Below are 18,552 nucleotides of genomic sequence, written 5' to 3'. Positions count from 1 at the left end.
TGGGCAAAAGCTGGAAGCATTCCCTTTGAAAACCAGCACAAGACAAGGATGCCTTCTCTCACCACTCCTATTCAATATAATATTGGAAGATCTGCCCAGGACAATCAGGCGAGAGAAAGAAATAAATTGTATTCAAATAGGAAGAGAGGGAGTCAAATTGTCTCTGTTTGCAGATGACATGATTGTATATTTAGAATACCCCATCGTCTCAACCCCAAAACTCCTTAAGCTGATAAGCAACTTCAGCAGTCTCAGGATACAAAATCGATGTGCAAAAATCACAAGCATTCATATATACTAATAATAGACAAACAGAGAGCCAAATCATGAGCAAACTCCCATTCACCATTGCTACAAAAAGAATAAAATACCTAGGAATACAACTTACAAGGGATATGAAGGGCCTCTTCAGGGAGGACTACTAACCACAGCTCAAGGAAATAAGAGAGGACACAAACAAACGGAAAAACATTCCATGCTCATGGATAGGAAGAATCAATATCAGGAAAATGGCCATACTGCTCAAAGTAATTTATAGATTCAATGCTATTCCCATCAAGTTACCATTGACTTTTTTTCACAGAATTAGAAAAAACTACTCTAAATTTCATATGGAACCAAAAAACAGCCTGTATATCCAAGACAATCCTAAGCAAAAAGAACAAAGCTGGAGGCATCACGCTACCTGACTTCAAAGTATACTACAAGGCTACAGTAACCAAAACAGCATGCTACTGGTACTAAAACAGATATATAGACCAATGGAACAGAACAGAGGCCTCAGAAATAACCCTACACATCTACAACCATCTGATCTTTGACAAACTGGACACAACCAGCAATGGGGAAAGGATTCCCTATTTAATAGTGTTGGGAAAATTGGCTAGCTATATGCAGAAAACTGAAACTGGACCCCTTCCTTACACCTTATACAAAAATTAACTCAAGGTGGATTAAAGATTTAAATGTAAGACCCCAAACCATAAAAACCCTAGAAGAAAACCTAGGCATTACCATTCAGGACATAGGCATGGGCAAAGACTTCATGACTAAAACACCAAAAGCAATTGCAACAAAAGCCAAAATTGACAAATGGGATCTAATTAAACTAAAGAGCTTCCGCACAGCAAAAGAAACTATCATCAGAGTGAACAGGCAGCCTACAGAATGGGAGAAAATTTTTGCAATCTATCTGTTTGACAAAGAGCTAATATCCAGAATCTGGAAGGAACTTAAAGAAATTTACAAGAAAAAAACAAACGACCTCATCAAAAAGTGGGCAAAGGATATGAACAGACACTTTTCAAAAGAAGACATTTATGTGGCCAACAAACATATGAAAAAAAAGCTTATCATTACTGGTCATTAGAGAAATACAAATCAAAACCACAATGAGATACCATCTCATGCCAGTTAGAATGGTGATCATTAATAAGTTAGGAAATAATAGATGCTGGAGAGGATGTGGAGAAACAGGAACGCTTTTACCCTGTTGGTGGGAGTGCAAATTAGTTCAACCATTGTGGAAGACAGTGTGGGAATTCCTTAAGGATCTAGAACCAGAAATACCATTTGACCCAGCAATCCCATTACTGAGTATATACCAAAAGGATTATAAATCATTCTACTATAAAGACACATGCACACGTATGTTTATTGTGGGAGTATTCACAATAGTAAAGACTTGGAACCAACCCAAATGCCCATCAGTGATAGACTGGATTAAGAAAATGTGGCACATATACACCATGGAATACTATGCAGCCATAAAAAAGGATGAGCTCATGTCCTTTGCAGGGACATGGATATGCCTGGAAACCATCACTCTCAGCAAACTAACACAAGAACAGAAAACCAAACACTGCATATTCTCACTCATAAATGGGAGTTGAACAATGAGAACATATGGGCACAGGGAGGAGACATCACACACTGGGGCCTGTCGGGGGGTGAGGGTCTAGGGGAGAGATAACATTAGGAGAAATGCATAATGTGGATGACGGGTTAATGGGTGCAGCAAACTACCATGGCACGTATATACCTATGTAACAAACTTGCACATTCTGCACACGTATCCCAGAACTTAAAGTAAAATAAAAAATATTTAAAAAGAGTATTATAGGAGTGTGTGAGGTAATTTTCTAGATTTTGTGATGTTTGTGATAATTGTCAGCTTTAAAAATTTTATATTTTGTTGTGATTTCTTTACTTATTCTAAGTACATATTTAGTTTCATATCTAATTGTGTACTGTAATTTTGTATTCTTTTTTAAAAATATGGCCCCAGGCCCTAATGTATCTGGCTTTGTGCTGAAGCCAGGGAGAAAAAAAGATTATCCTTTGTGGTATGGCAAAAAACAAAACAAAACAAAACAAAACCATGCAAAACAAAAAGCAAAAACAAACGCCATGAATTTCTCTGTATCAATTTTTAATTGGCTTAAAATATTAAATACTGAAATTAAGCCGTACTCTTATTTATTTATTTATTTATTTTTCTTTTTTTATTTTTATTTATTTATTTATTATTATTATACTTTAAGTTTTAGGGTACATGTGCACAATGTGCAGGTTAGTTACATATGTATACATGTGCCATGCTGGTGTGCTGCACCCATTAACTCGCCATTTAGCATTAGGTATATCTCCTAATGCTATCCCTCCCCCCTCCGAGTCTTGCTCTCTCACCAGGCTGGAGTGCAGTGGCGCCATCTTGGCTCACTGCAATCTCCGCCTCCTAGGTTCAAGTGATTGTCCTGCCTCAGCCTCCTAAGTAGCTGGGATTACAGGCCTGCACCACCACATTCAGCTAATTTTTGTATTTTTAGTAGAGACGGGGTTTCACCATGTTGGCCAGGATGGTCATGGTTTCCTCACCTCGTAATCTACCCGCCTCGGCCTCCCAAAGTGCTGGGATTACAGGCATAAGCCACCCCGCTCGGCCCCTTACTCATATTTAATATATTGATCAACAGTGGCACCTTCAGGTGGTTGGCATTGCAGAAGTTCTGGGTCACTCAGTGAGATAGGTGGCACCTTAATGGAAGAGGGGAAGCTCCCCATCTGAGAAGGCTCAGGAATGGGGCCTCCCCTATTTGCTTAACACTGAGGACACGAGGAAGCCTTGCAGCTTACTCGTATCCAAGTGAGGGATTTGCCTCTTCTGTTACCTAGTTTGAAATGTCAGCTCCTAAAACATGGGCAGGTAGCTTAAAAAGATGTCTGAAAGAAACACTGGATTGAAAGCAATGCTAATAATGGAAGCACAAGTGAATAACAAGCAAAAGGCAGGCTGACACTTCTTTTATTCTTGATATAAATTTTTCTTCAACCATGTTATAAGGTAAAAAACAATGATGAGCTAATTAGGTATGACAAGAGGCCAACAAGAAAATTTTGAAATAACTGAAAGGACTATTTGCAATCTGTATTTATATTCACTGTTATTCATAATAAACCTTGTCCTAGGTATTTGTTGAGCTTTGGGCTATTAGCTAATGGCAGCAGCCCACGGATATAATTTATCTATAAATAATTTACACACATACTAGAGTATAGGTTTACATATGTATTTTAATTGATGGAGTTGCTTGATTAAAAACCTTTGTACATGGAAGACAAGCTCTCCTCTTGACTTGCTCTGAGCAGGAATAGCTACTGATCAGACCAGAGTTGAGCATGCAGTGATTTGCTAAACCACACTGGCTCTTGCTAAGAACCCGACTGGAATGTATGGAGGAGAATGGTCAATTTAAAAAGAGGATTATTCAGTCAGCAACAGAAGTGACACACACCAAATACACAGTCCCTTGAGCTGCCTCGTTTCTTGCAGATGTTACTCTTGAAGGCCAAACGTGCTTTTGGTATGGCCTGCATGAGTTTCTGTTCATTGTAATCAGAAAAGCTTCCTAGGATTGTGGGTTTCTCAAGGACAGGGACCATGCATGTTTGGACTTCATACTTTCATTTAATGTTATCCTGTGTGTAGTAGGGACTCAATAAATAGTTGTTGGAATTACAATGAAAAGTAACCATAGTTGGGGCACTATGTATTTAAGACTAGTCAGTCTGACTTTTAAATTTGAAGGTTAGGGAATACTTTTTCAAATCTCCAAATTATTTTTATTGACAATATTTTAATTTTACCTGAGCATAATCTTCCACAATTCTTACTTCTTCTGCCACAATTTCTTCATCCTGTTTAACAAGCATCTGAACTTTCTCAACTACTTGTGAATCTTTCCGTAGTTTTTCCATTAGAGTTTCTGTTTCCTAATGAAGCACATAATTGTTCTTAGAATGAATTTTAAGAGACATGATCTCTTTTCTAAAAGAGCAATTCAAATATCTCATTTCACTATGGTAAAGTTTACTAAAATCAGCCTGAAATATATTTAATAGATTCATAAAATGAGAGACAGCAAGAGATGAATAAAATGGAGAGAGCAAGAGCTCTCACCATTTGGCCAGCTCTCAGCTGCGCCTCCTCTTATAAGCTCTGTCATCCACTATCCTTGATGGTAGCTCTCCGCCACTGGTGCTCTCTGCCATTGGTCTGCCACTGGGATATTGCCTAGGATGACTACAGTAAATATTTCATGCGTTACACACAAAGAGTGATGATGAATGATGGTTTTTAGAATAGTTGATAGACTGCAAGTTACCACAGCATATTTCAGATGGATTTAACTAATTGACTAGGGAATCTTTCTACATAAGCTTCTACAGTTAGCTATATACCTACTATTACACTTAATTATCAAAATGTAATAATGTTACTGTTTTGCTGTTACTGCTTTTTTGTTCTTCTCATTTTACAGATAAACTAAGACTAAAAAAACAAGCTATTTTTTTCATGTGTACACAACTATAGGGTAACAAAGCTGGAATTCTAGCCTGTCTTTGTCAGGTATCAGAGCCTTTGCTTTCAAACACTGTTCTATATTAGACTATAAAATCTTTAAAAGAGATTTCAAAGCAAACATACCTTTGTTTTTTGTTCTACTTGAGGGCCAAGAATCAAGAGCTCTTCTTGCATTTCTGTAACTAGAGTGGTTGCTTCCAGGATTGTGGATAGACCCATATGGAAGCGATCCCTGAAGGAAGAAAAAGTATTAAGAAGGTGTAAGATATAACACAATTTAGCAAATATAATTTGATAATATATAAAAAGAATTACACCAAATTATGGCCAAATGGATTTTATTCTAGAGATGCAAGACTGGCTCACTATTTGAAAGTCAATCAATATAATCCACTATATTAACAAGGTATAAAGAAGAAAATTCACTGCTGCATCAGTATCCATTGATGCAGAAAAAACATTTGATAAAATTCATGATAACTAGGAATAGAGGGGAAATTTCTCAACTTGAAGAACAGATGCTGTTAAAATAAAATGGACTCAAAGGAAAAACTAATAATGAGAACTGGGCATCTGAGGTTCAGCTCCCACTGGAGCACACTTAAGACAGGCAAATTGGGCTTTAAATGTACTAATTCCCCATAAGGGTACCTCTCATTTAAACAGAATATTTAATTATAAGTTTCGGGGTGGGAAAGAGAACCAGATAGGCTGTAAGAGACCCAAACCATATAATTAACCCTTCTTGCTTTTTCTCCCCCCATATCTACCCCTGGGAAACTGGACTACTGAAATTTCCAAGTAGCAAAGAAGAGCCGGGCAGTGGTGGACTGTAACCTGTCTTTTGCCACCGAGATATGCTTGCTGGATATAAGCAGTTATGGATGTTGATAATAATGATTATGCATATAAGGTGATAGCTCTTAAGATTGTCCTGGCATGGCCCACGCATTAGGGGGTGGGAGATGTTCTAGGATAGTACAAGGTATGTAAGGAAGAAACTACTGAGTGATCTAGAGCTGTGTTGTGGGTAAGACATGAGGAGGAATGGAAAAGGGGTGAATGACTGTGATAGGGACTGGTCATACTGATTACATGGCTGTGAATGGAGAGCAACAACCCTGGATGATGGGGAGGGGACACCTTAGATCCCAGGAGGTTAGGAGTGAGAGGAAGATTCATTAAACTCTCTTGACGCTTGCCTGTAGGGCATCTGGCCAATTTTCTCAGACTGTTGACATCATCCTTAATTTAACTGCTGACCAACAAAAATCTCAATCTAAGGACTCTCAGAAACCTCCTAGGATCTGCTGACCCCAGGAGTGAACAGCCTCTCCTTGAAACAGAACAAGATTAGCTTTCTGAGCACTGATATGATTCTCTTTAGCCTCATTATTATATTCACAGACTACCTCAACTGCTCTAAAATGAACTGTTATTGGATCTATCATGCCCCACCTGACCTTGTTAACGAAAACTTAATAAAATTAGACCCTGACCCCACATTAGCAAAATGCTGCTATTGAGGTTGCTGCTTATGTAAATGTCAGGCCTATACTTGCCTGCAGCACACAAATTAGTTCACACTCTCCAGCATGAGTGCTGATGAAATATCACATTGCCCTGGACTTCCTGCTGGCCAGTTGAGACAGAGAAGGTGCAATGGCCAATACCTCTTGATGCACTTGGATTAATAACATTTTTAACTGGCTTGGCTCCAGACACGGAGCTTGGCTGTGGTCTATCCTCCAAGTGGGAGTCATAGTCATGATCACTCTCATGCAGTGTTCCCTATGGCAAATGGAATGGATCTGGCCCAGGCCCCAGTCAGTGTAATTAGTTACAGTATCTGATGGAGTGGGCTATTTTTAAAAAACAATTATTAGCTGGATACGTGACAGGTTTAGGAGATGGACTTGGAGAAGAATAGTTCCACCATGGTGCCTCGGCAGCCCTTCATGTCTCCATATAGGTTATATAGACAAGGCTTGGCTGCAGCTGATCTAAGTGTTGGCAGGACACCCCTGATCTTTCTAGAACATGAAAATGTGGGGCACTTGTGAGTAGATGCTACCAGGCCATTTCCCACTCATTTCCCCATCTTCCTGGAAGATTGTCATAAGATAGTTTCTCAATGTCTCCTGTATTCTGATTAGGGGTGAGGCCTTCTGCTTCATGTTTCTTCCCGTGCCTCCTCAGGTACCACTGCTGGCTATAAAACTGCTTAGTAGGTGTTCCACTATCTGCGTTGTAGTCATCTGAAGCCTTTTATTTTGGTGTCATCCCATGAGACAAAGGACATGGGGAGTGGCACTCTTCGTTACTCTTGCTTTCATTGCCCATGTAAGAAATAAACTGTCGGAATCCAACAGGGACTAATTGTTTATTTACTGGCCAAGTCTGTCAGCCTTGCCTTGACAGGGGCGGCCTTTGAAGGCACACAGGGGGAATGTCAACCTTATCTCTTTTAAGATCTTCTGCAGCTTCTGGCTTTTTGTCCCACCAAAAAGGCAGATTTGGCTCACCATTTTGCATTTGTGTCTCTTTTCGCAAACAAAAACACCAATATAAAATATATTTATGATTTGTTCTCAAAGTCTTACCTCTTTGTTTGCATCTCTTCCTCTCGTGCCCTCAAAATGTGTGCAAATGTTTCCATAAATTGCAAGTAGCTATTGGGAGTGGTATAATAAAATCTTCCAGTTTCTTCAAAGTATTTTCTGTTCAAGTCTTTCATGCTTTTGTGGATTTGGACACATGTTGGGGCAAGTTTTTCTTTCAAGTTCTGAAGAATAATAATTTTTAAGAATTAAGAGAAAGCAATCCAAATATACATAAAAAGAGAAAGTTGAACACTTAGAATTAATTAAAATAGCTTATTATTTCTGAGATGTGGAGATGTAGAGAGAGCTCCCGGATGAGCAGGACAAAGAAAATATGAGTTTTGATGGTTGGGATGGTGGTGGGGCAACAGCAGAGCTAACTATGAATGGCATGCCACACTCATTCTTCTAGGCTTTACCCGTATGTTACTCTCACTTTTGCTATAGTCATCCAAAGATTTGGGCATCAGTATCAATGGCCAAGGGTTATAATGTTTTCTTTATCTTTAAATTTTTTATTTATTTTTTATTTTGAGACTGGATCTTGTTCTTTTGTCCAGGCCAAAGTGCAGTGGTGCAGTAGTAGCTCACGTAGCCTCAAACTCTTGGGCTCAAGAGATCCTCCTGCCTCAGCCTCCCATGTAGCTGGGACTACAGATGTGTGCCACCACACCTGGCTAATTTTCTAAATTTTTTGTAGAGACAGGGTCTCACTATGTTGCCCAGGCTGGTCTTGAACTCCTGGCCTCAAGCAATCCTCCTGCCTTGCCTCCCAAACTGCTGGGATTATAGGTGTGAGCCACCATGCCCAGACTTCTTTATCTTTTATATTTTTTTCTTAAAGTGGTCATCAATAGCAAGATACTCAAGGAAATTTCTTTGAGTAAAATAAAGCTACAAAAATGTAAGGACCCAAAGGATGTGCAGATGAGCAAAACCAGACTGCGAAGAATATTCTCTTTGCCTGGATTGGGAGATAATTCTGATTTAGACATAACCTAGTCCTGATGATTCATCTCCAGTCCACCAAGTCTAACCAGTCACTGGTCACTTTTAACTCAGCGGCATTTTTTTTTCTTCTGGTTCTACTCTGTCTCTGTCCTCCTTGGCCTTTGCTTTCCTTGATCACTTAGACAAGTAAGGATGCAATCCCATTGGTCCCGTAGGACCTAGAAATGTCCTACGTTGAGTTTCAGTTCTCTATGCATTTACAGCTCCTTTGGTCAACACTTCTTACCCCCTTTGCTGTCAGCTAGGTCCTATGGGATGTTCAGTTTAGTCACTCCAGAATAGGTTCTTTCTTACTGTTGGCTCATAAATTCTGAGTTAATTTTGTGTTGTGGCTTGTGCTCTCACTGCTTTGCTGACTTGCTATTTGTAGCCAAGCCAGAGCAATTTACAAGGAATACACAGAAGGTTGCAGCATCCTTACCATAGAATCTGGTATGCAGAATGGAGACTGTTTTCCTTCACGGAAATCTGCTGTTCCACCATGTGGACAGCATAGTGAAGAGACACAGGCATTGCAGAATCTGAATCTGGGCATCTTTGAAATAGGGTGAATTCAGGGGTACAACAGATGGGGAATTAATAGGGAGTCATTGTAAACACTTGATCCATTTTATTGTAAATTAGCTTAGAACTGCCTATTTTTGTCCATCTAGGGTTTGTTGCTCTTCAGAGGCATAATACCATCAGATGCTGTCAATAAACTGAAACCTTCACTTGCATTAGATATTTACCTCTCTGTTCTCAAAATTGACCTTTTCTTTTAAGAATGAGTTAGCTACAATAAGGAGAGCTTCTTCTGGCCACCTCTCATACCAATCGATCGTGCAGGAGCTAATCATAGAAGGATACACTCTACAATTTTGGCGGAAGCTAGGTCCTTCAGGACTCATGATCACAAAAATATGAAGATTTTTATATATTCTCTGAAAATTAATGAAAATATAAATTGTTAAAATGTAATCCACTGTTTTGAAAAAATATTATATTAAAAATTCCATGGAAAACATATTTCAGATCTTTCCTTAGTGGGTAGATCAGGGACTGATCATTTGTGCATGGAGTGCCTGCCATAAACAGAGCCCTTCCAAGGGAAACTAACAGTAGGGGAGGCACTGGACCCAGAACACCCCTTGCGTAAACCAACTCTTATGATGGGGGCTGGTGCTAGAGTTCTGTTCAGTAGGGGACTTTATGTCAGATGGTGCTGGGTCTGACTGTTTAACTCTTTCCTCTGGGGTGGTGTGGATTTAAGACCCACAGAAACTCAAAGTGAGAAGATGGTCAGATGAATTAGAGCTGAAAGAAACAGACTGACAATAAGAGTAGAGCACCAGAGGTAGTAATAAAACTCCTACAGCTAAGGGATTACAGCTAAGCAACATGAGACCTACACAATTTTACAGGCCCTAGGCTAAGTGCTAGTTTCTTTGCAATTTGCCTTCAGCCCTTTTCCTCATAAGACCTGGCTGTGCTGCTGCTGTTGCTGGGTTCTTGGCAAGACTGGCAACAGGGCACAGATTCCTTCTTCCTTATTTCCAGATATCACTTTGCAATAAGTCCGCATTACTGAAAACAGCCTCAGTGACTTAGTGTTCCCTTTAAGTCAGAGTCTAATTGTACAAAATGATAATAAGCATCAAGCAACTTATTTTGTCAAATAAATATAGTAAAGCTGAAAGAAGACTAAAAGGCAAGATTTTTTTTCCTTTTTTTTGTCTTTAACAAATTTATAAAGGCAAATAAAACTGCTCAGTGCAAAATTCATACAATGTGGAAATGTTTAAAGTAAAAATGAAAATATCTATCTTTGTTTTACGCATTCCCAAAACTTCTACCTAGATATATCAAATGTTAGCAGTTTAAAGTGTGCCTTTATTATTTGTTATTATTGTAGGACATGTCAAATTACTTTTAGAAGCATAGCATTATATATATTATATATGCAGAATATATAATATATATTATATATATAAAACATATATAATATATACAATTAAATTGACTTCTAACTGAGATTCTTGGTTTATTTATTTATTTTCTGGAGTACTATTCTCTGCACTCCAAATTGAAATTTCTTTTTTCTTCTTTATTATTCAAATCTAATGAATAAACCAAATATAGTAACAAGGCACAAGAGTGCCACAATTGTCAGGATAAATGCTATCCTTCTTCCTACCACGGTATTAAAAAATATAACTAAATCTAAGGATATCCACTCATATTATCTTGTTCTCTATCAACTGTGGAGTCATTTTTGGAATTTTTAAAACATCTCCTTGTGACAGATTACTAAGTATCTGTTTGATACTTAGTAATGTTGTTACTAAGTTGAGAAATGGTGGATGGCCAGATTCAATTTTTAAATTGCCCTATGATAGACAAAAACTAGTACCAGAAATAAATCCACCTGTGGTCCTCCCCCAGTGAATATTCTAGTTTGGGTAATCATGTCCATATATTTGCTAAGCCACTGGTCGGTCATCATGTCTCAAAGACACAGAAAGTTGAGTTCATTTTGACTAATCTATATCTCTCATCAAACCAGTTTGTTCACAGCTCCTCTGCTGCTGAGTTCATTCTGAATAGCACCCGCTCTATCCAGTCAATTTCTTTTTTTATCCATCACCTCCTGGTCAATTCTAGGACTATTCAAAAGGATGAAATGATTCTTGTTTCTTGCCTTTCCAGACTTGTTACCAAAAAGACGAAATAAGAACATCATTATCTAGGAAAGAATCTTTGTGTAAGAAATACTTACACAAATACTTACACAAAAATAAAATCTTGGGATTTTATTTTTCATTTTATTGCCTCCAGCTGGTATTATTTTTTAAAACCATTGATAGCCAGACAGGCTCAGATTCATGTTAGTTTTTGACCTACCGAAGGGTATGGTGTTGTCTGTAGGTAGGGTACCCATTATTTTACCTTAAAAACTCATATAAAGATCTAAAGAAATTATATCCAACTTGAAAATCATGTACAGAATTATAAACACGGTCTACTTTTAACATGACAATTTGATAAAGCCAAGTCACAAAAAAGTACCTTTTGAAAGAATGAAAGTAAAGATTGCCTATTATCCATATGACCAGATTGTTCAGTAAGATATCTGATTTTCATTGCAATAGAATCCAGCTCAACATTTTCAAACAGGTCAGGTATTCTTCCTGAACTGATGATGTAGTTCAAATCTTCTAAAAATGAGTCCTTAGGCAAAACACATATTTAATGAGGAAGAGTAAATTATTCATATATTCTACCCTAACCACATCAATTTGAGGAAGCAAGAAAGCAACAGTGATTAAGGAGAACTGAGGCTAAGTGATTTTTTTTTTTAAAGCTAATCTCCCCCACCCCCCACCTTTTTTTTTGAGACAAAGTCTCACCCTGTTGCCCAGTCTGGAGTACAGTGGCATAGTCATGGCTCACTGCATGCAGCCTTGAACTACTGGGCTTAAGCCATCCTCCCACCTCACCCTCCCAAATAGCTAGGATGAAAGGTGCATGCCACCATGCTTGGCTAATTTTTAAAATATTCTTGTAGTGACTGGGCCTCTCTATGTTGTCTGGGCTGGTCCATCTTCCCACTTTGGTCTCTCAAAGTGCTGGGATTACAGGCATGAGCCACTGTGGCTGTCCTAAAACTAACGTTTTCATTCAAACCCATCAGAATATTTTTTTCTGAGTCAAAATAAGCTTCATTCATCCATTCATTCATTTAAACATTAGAGAAACATATACTTGGTATGGAGAGTATGCCAAATAGCTGTGACAGGCACTGAGAAAAGAGGTATGGAGGAGTGGGTACAATAATGAATTGGGCAGGAACACTGCTCAGGCAGTTCACAGAAGCCCTCAATACATTTACATTTGCGTTTGAATAGTAGTAGACAAACTAGAAATAACATTGCTGAAGGATTATTTTAATTTAACTGAATTCATATCTATATAGGGCCTCAAATTCAATGGAAAAGGTAACAGATGAGAAAAAGTAGGGAAACAAACTCTTCCAGAAGAGTTATTATAAATGTAAGGACATTTTGCTTTTGAGAATAAATCCAAGATTTCTTTTTAAAAAAAGCATTTAAAAAAGTAGGTAGCATTAGTGACTCTCTTCAGGAGACTCAGACACTGATAGGTTCATGGTATTTCAGTTCAGGTGGGGAAGGGCAGAGAGCTTGTGGGGAGCTCTCCAGTAGAGGCCAACAGAGGTGACACAGGGCTAACGTATTTCCTGTCTCACCTCATATGTGATGGAGAACTGCCAAAGCTTGTTACACACTGATAGTTACCCACTCTTTTTGAGTCACATGAAAAGCAATGATATGGCCAGAAGAAGCCTGGAAAGTGTGGGAAACAGATCCAATGATCTCGAAGTCCTGAGTAACATGAGAGCAGAGGAGCCATGTCCATTTCAGCTTTGGCCTGAAATGATTTTCTGAAACTGATTTATTAAATTAGAACAATGGGCTCCTGGCATGGGAGAAACTACATCTTCTAAAATCCAGAAAGAAAGTGTGTGGCAGAAACCTCAACTGGATCAACAGAGCTGGATATTTAAGTTTGGTGAAGGGAGAATATATAGATATAGCAGAAACCCTGGATATTATGGAGTTTCGTAGATATGATATGGCACTTGGATTTGCTCTCAAAAATATGACATGAAAAAAATAACTCAATGGAGAAAGGCCCAGCATTAAGAGAAAAAACAGGATGAGGGGTTGAAACAATACTCAATAACTATATATGTCTGGATCATAAACAATAAACAATGTTCCCTTGAAATTTTGTCACAAAAGAGTAAATACAATCTGAGGTGGCATTCCTAATTTTGTCTTGGACATGGAAGAGTATACTTTGTGAAAAATAACAGAACAAAAAAAAGTGAGTGATTAGCAATTTTTGCTTGTACGTAAATATAGTATATTCTGGGCCTGGCGACTGGCCAGATGGCTGGCTAGAAGTACTTGGAAGTAGTCTTCCCCATAAGAAAGGACCAATGTAACAAACAGCTAAGATTTGACTAGAGTGTCAATGGGAGACTGCATGAGTACAGTGACAGGATGGAGAGGTACCTGTGGTGACTGGAAGCCCAGGAGGGCAATGTGGAGGCATCCTGCCTCTGCAGCCCTGTCTCCCCTGTCCAGATCAGCTGGGAGTCAAGAGGGACTTCTCCTTGTGGAGAAAAGGTAAGCAGAAGAATCCCCCAGCCCCGCTGCCACTGAAACACCTACAGTCATTATACAGGACAATCCCAGAGTCCTTTCTAGCCCTGGGCCCATTTTAGGGAGCTGCTGGAAATTCATGCAGCTGCATTGCTCTGGATTGGGAGAACAAGGTGTGTACTTCCCACCCACCCTCACTCCTGCTGTGAGCCAAGCTACAGCAGCATGGCACCATCTTGAGACCAGAGGTACCTCTGGAGTGTGCCCTGCTCTAGGGGCCAGTAGCCATGCACCTCTCCAGCACTGGGACTTCATCTTCATTCTTCCACCAAGTCCACATGGGTGTCTATATGCCACAACCCCAGCTGTGCAGAGCCTGGACCCAGGATTGGCTGTGATTGTGGTCCTGCCAGCAGGGAAACCAATCCCCAATGCCTGCACTTTTAGTCAGGGGAATAATCTGGCAGTCCCATTTAGGGTGACCCTACCCTTGAGCTGGCCAAACTGCTGTGTACCCTTCTTGAAGCAGGAGGGGTCCCAGAGCCATTGAACAGCTGACACATTCTTGGGCTGGCAGAGTGCTACATGCCCATGCCCAGGACCTGAGAAATAGCCCCACAAGTGCCTCCACTAAGGACATGCCCCTGGCCTGCCCAACAGCTCTGTGCCCACAGTCAGGTCCTGAGAAAGAGCCTTACAGGTCACCCCTGGAAGACATACCCCCAGGCTAGCCAAGCAAACCTTTGCCTGCATCCTAGGCCTGAAAAATAGCTACATGGGTTGCCCCTGGCAGACACACCCCCTTCAGGTCAGCTGAGCAGCCATGAACCCATATCTCAGGCTTGAGAAATAGCCTTATGGGTCACCCCTGGTGGTGGGAGGTGGGCACACTCCCAGGCTGGCCAAGAAATATTGTGCTTACTTCTTGGACCTAAGAAACAGCCCTGTGGTACATCCCCCGTGCTGCAGACATGTCCCTGGCCTGCCTCATGACTCTGTGCTTGTACTAAGGGCCTAAGAAACAACCCAGTGGGCAACTCTGGCAGACACACAACCAGGCCAGCCAAGAAACTGTATGCCCATGCCCCCAGCTAGAGCAATAGCCCTATGGCCCCAAACCAAGTGAGCCAGATCCCAAATTGGCTGATTCACTGCATGCATGCACATGCCCTTGACATGAGAAACAGCCTGGTGAGCCCACCTCCAGCAAAGTTGCACCATTGCCTCCACAAACCCTCACAGCCTAGGCTGCTGAGACATTTGCAAATGTCACCAGCATGGATTACAACTGAAGAAACTACATGGAGACTACACTACTGTATCCATCTAGAATCAAGGCCATGCACCCAATGACTGACACTGTAAAACCCATACCTATGAATAAGTCTCTCCTTATGAAAGCTACTCCATAAAGTTGGAAAGGTGATTGCTTTTCCAGATGCATAGAAATCAATGAAGGGACACATCAAACATGAACAAGCAAGGAAACATGAAATCTCCAAAGGAACACAATAGCTCACCAGTAACAGGTTGCAATCATACAGAAATATACAAAATGACAGAAAAAAAATGTAAAAGAATAATCTTAAAGAAATGCAGTAAGATACAAGATAAAGATAGACAACTCAACAAAATCAGGAAGATAGTTTATGGTTTGAATGAGAAATTCAATAGGGAGATATATATCACAAAAAGGATCAAAAACACATCTCAGAGCTACAGATTTCAATGAAAAAATATATACAATTGAGAGCTTCTACAATAGATAAGACCAAGCAGAAGAAAGAATTTCTGAACTTAAAGGCATTCCAGAAGGAGAAGAGAAGGGAAAAGATGTAGAAAGCATTTAATTAAATAATAACTGAAAACAATCCCAAGTCTTCAGAGAGTGTTAGTCATACAGATCCAGGAAGCTCCAATGTCCCCAAGTAGATTCAACCCCAAAAAAGCCTATCTGAGGAACATTACAGTCAAACTGTCAAAATTCAAAGACAAAGAGAAGATTCTAAAAATGGCAAGAGAAAAATGTCATCATATAAATGGGAAACCCCAGCAGAACAACAGCAGATTTCTCAGCAGAAACCTTAAAGGACAGGAGAGAATAGGATGAGATAGTCAAAGAACTGAAGGAAACTGCCAGCCAAGAAAATTATATCCAACAAAGCTATCCTTCAGAAATGAATGAGAAATAAAATCTTCCCAAGACAAGCAAAACCTGAGGGAATTCATCACCCCTAGCGTAGCCTTACAAGAAATGCTCAAGGGAGTCTTACAAGTGGAAGTGAAAAGATGATAACCACCATTATGAAAACATGCAAAACTATAACACTCACTGGTAGAGCCAATACACAAAGGGGAAAAAAGAAAGGAATCAAACCCTATCACTGCAAAAAAAAAAAAACCACCCACCACAAACATAAACGATAAGAGAGGAAGGATACACAAAACAACCAGAAAACAATCAACAAAATGAGATAAATAGTTCCTCACCAATCTATTATAACTTTGAATTTAAATGGATTAAATTCCCCATTTTAAAAGATAAAGATTTGGCCAGGCACGGTGTTTGACCCCGATAATCTCAGCACTTTGGGAGGCCAAGGCAGGAGGATCTCTTGAGCCCAGGAGTTCCAGACCAGCCTGGGCAACATAGTGAGACCTCGTCTCTATTTTTAAGAAAAGATATAGACTGGCTGAATTGATAAAAAACAAGACTGGCTGAATGGATGAAAAACAAGACCCAACTATAAGCTGCCTATAAGAAATTCACCACACTTGTAAAGACAGACATAGAGTGACAGTGAAGGGATAGAAAAAGATATTCCATGCAAACAGAAACCAAACACAAGCAGGAGTAGCTATATTTATATCAGGTAAAACAGATTTCTAGTCAAGCTGTAAAAAGAGACAAAGGACATTATATAATAATAAAGGAATCAATTCTGCAAGAGAATATAACTATTGTAAATATATATGTACCCAACACTGGAGCACCCAGATATATAAATCAAATATTATATCTAAAGGAAGAGAGGGACCCCAATACAATAATAGTTGGGGATTTCAACACCCCATTCTCAGCATTAAATAGTTCATCTAGACAGAAAATCAGCAAACATCAGATTTAAATTGCACCATAGACCAAGTGGACCTAACAGACACTTAAAGAACATTTCACTCAACAGCAACAGAATACACATTCTTTTCATTAGCACACGGAACATTCTGCATGACTGACTACATGTTAGAACACAAACAAGTCTCAATAACAAATTTTTAAAAATCAAAATCATATCAAGTATCTTATCTGAGTACAATGGAATATGACTAGAAATCAATAACAAGAGCAACATTCAAAACTGTAACATTCATGGACATTAAACAGTATGCTCCTGAACAACAAATGGATGAAGGAAGAAATTAAGAATGAAATTTAAGAATTCCTTGAAACAAATGATAATGCAAACACAACATAACAAAACCTAGGGGTGCAGGAAAAGCAGTATTAAGAGGCAAGTTTATAACAATAAATGCCTACATAAAAAAGAAAGATTTCAAATAAATAACCCAACAATCCATCTCAGGGAACTACAAAAAGCAAGAACAAACGAACCCAAAATTAGTAGAAGGAAATAAATAATAAAAATCACAGCAAAATAAATGAAATTGATAATAAAAAACAATATCAAAGATCAACACAACCAAAAGTTTTTTTGCAAAGAAAAACAAAACTGAACAACTATTAGTTAGACAAACTAAAAACGGAAAAGATCCAAATAAATAAAATCAGAAGTGAAAAAGAATACATCACAATGGATACCATAGAAATACCCAGGATTACTAGAGACTATTATGAACAGCAACACATCAATAAATTCAAAAACCTAGAGGGAATGATTAAATTCACATATAGTCTATCAAGATTGAGCCAAGAAGAAATAGAAAACCTGAGCAGACTAATAATAAGTAACAAGATTGATCAGTAATAAAAACTCTCCCAAAAACAAACAAACAAACAACAACAACAACAAAAAATCCACTACTGGATGGCCTCACTGCTGAATTCTACCAACTTTTTTTTTTTTTTAAGATGGAGTCTCACTCTGTCACCCAGGCTGGAGTGCAGTGGTACCATCTCGGCTCATGGCAACCTCTGTCTCCTGGGTTCAAGCAATTCTCCTGCCTCAGTATCCTAAGTAGCTGGGATTACAGGCACCTGCCACCACACCAGGCTAATTTTTTTTGTACTTTTAGTAGATATTGGGTTTCACCATGTTGGCCAGGCTGGTCTTGAACTTTTGACCTCAGGTGATCTGCCTGCCTTGGCCTCCCAAAGTGCTGGGATTACAGGCATGAGCCACTGCTCCTGGTCTCTACCAAACTATTAAAGACAAATTAATATTAATTATTCTCAAGATATTCCAGAATATTAAAGAGGAAATTATTCCTTACTCATTCTATGAGGTCAGCATAACACTGATACCAAAACCAGGTAAGGATGTGATGAAAAAGGAAAACTATAGGCCAATATTCCTGATGAATCTAGATACAAAAATCCTCAACAAAATACTAGCAAACTGAATCCAACAACACATCAAAAAGATAATACACCATTATCAACTGGTATTTATGTCAGGAATGCAAGGATGGTTCCAGATATGCAAATCAATAAACATGATACACTGCATAAACAGAATATAGAAAAAAAACCACAATCATCTCAATAGATGCTGAAAAGGCATTAAATAAAATCCAACATCCTTTCATGATAAAAACTCTCAATAAATTAGCTATTGAAGGAAAGTACCTCAACACAATAAAGGCCATATGTGACAAACCCACAGCTAACATCATACTGAATAGGGAAAAGCTCAAAGCTTTTCCTCTGAGAGCTAAAACAAGAAAA

General features: G+C 39.0%; 1 protein-coding gene across 26 annotated transcripts in view; it reads right to left on the bottom strand.

The window, feature by feature from the left end:
- The window catches only part of DNAH14 (dynein axonemal heavy chain 14), a 469,633-nt gene that overhangs the window by 86,730 nt on the left and 364,351 nt on the right, over positions 1-18,552 (bottom strand). For 24 of the 26 annotated variants that reach the window (XM_011544062.3, XM_011544067.3, XM_017000296.2 and 21 more), the window contains 5 exons: positions 11,527-11,688; positions 9,210-9,401; positions 7,468-7,649; positions 4,988-5,096; positions 4,147-4,272 (listed from right to left, as the gene is read on the bottom strand). In XM_011544062.3, the coding sequence (XP_011542364.1) occupies positions 4,147-4,272; positions 4,988-5,096; positions 7,468-7,649; positions 9,210-9,401; positions 11,527-11,688 (771 nt within the window). The remainder of the gene's footprint in view (positions 1-4,146; positions 4,273-4,987; positions 5,097-7,467; positions 7,650-9,209; positions 9,402-11,526; positions 11,689-18,552) is intronic. The other 2 variants (XM_011544065.3, XM_011544069.3) reach the window with 2 other exon arrangements.

The sequence above is a fragment of the Homo sapiens genome, chromosome 1 (genome assembly GCF_000001405.40).
Source record: "Homo sapiens chromosome 1, GRCh38.p14 Primary Assembly".
Taxonomy (NCBI): Eukaryota; Metazoa; Chordata; class Mammalia; order Primates; family Hominidae; genus Homo; species Homo sapiens.
Note: the sequence above shows the minus strand (reverse complement) of the source record. Positions and strands in the feature narration are given on the sequence as shown.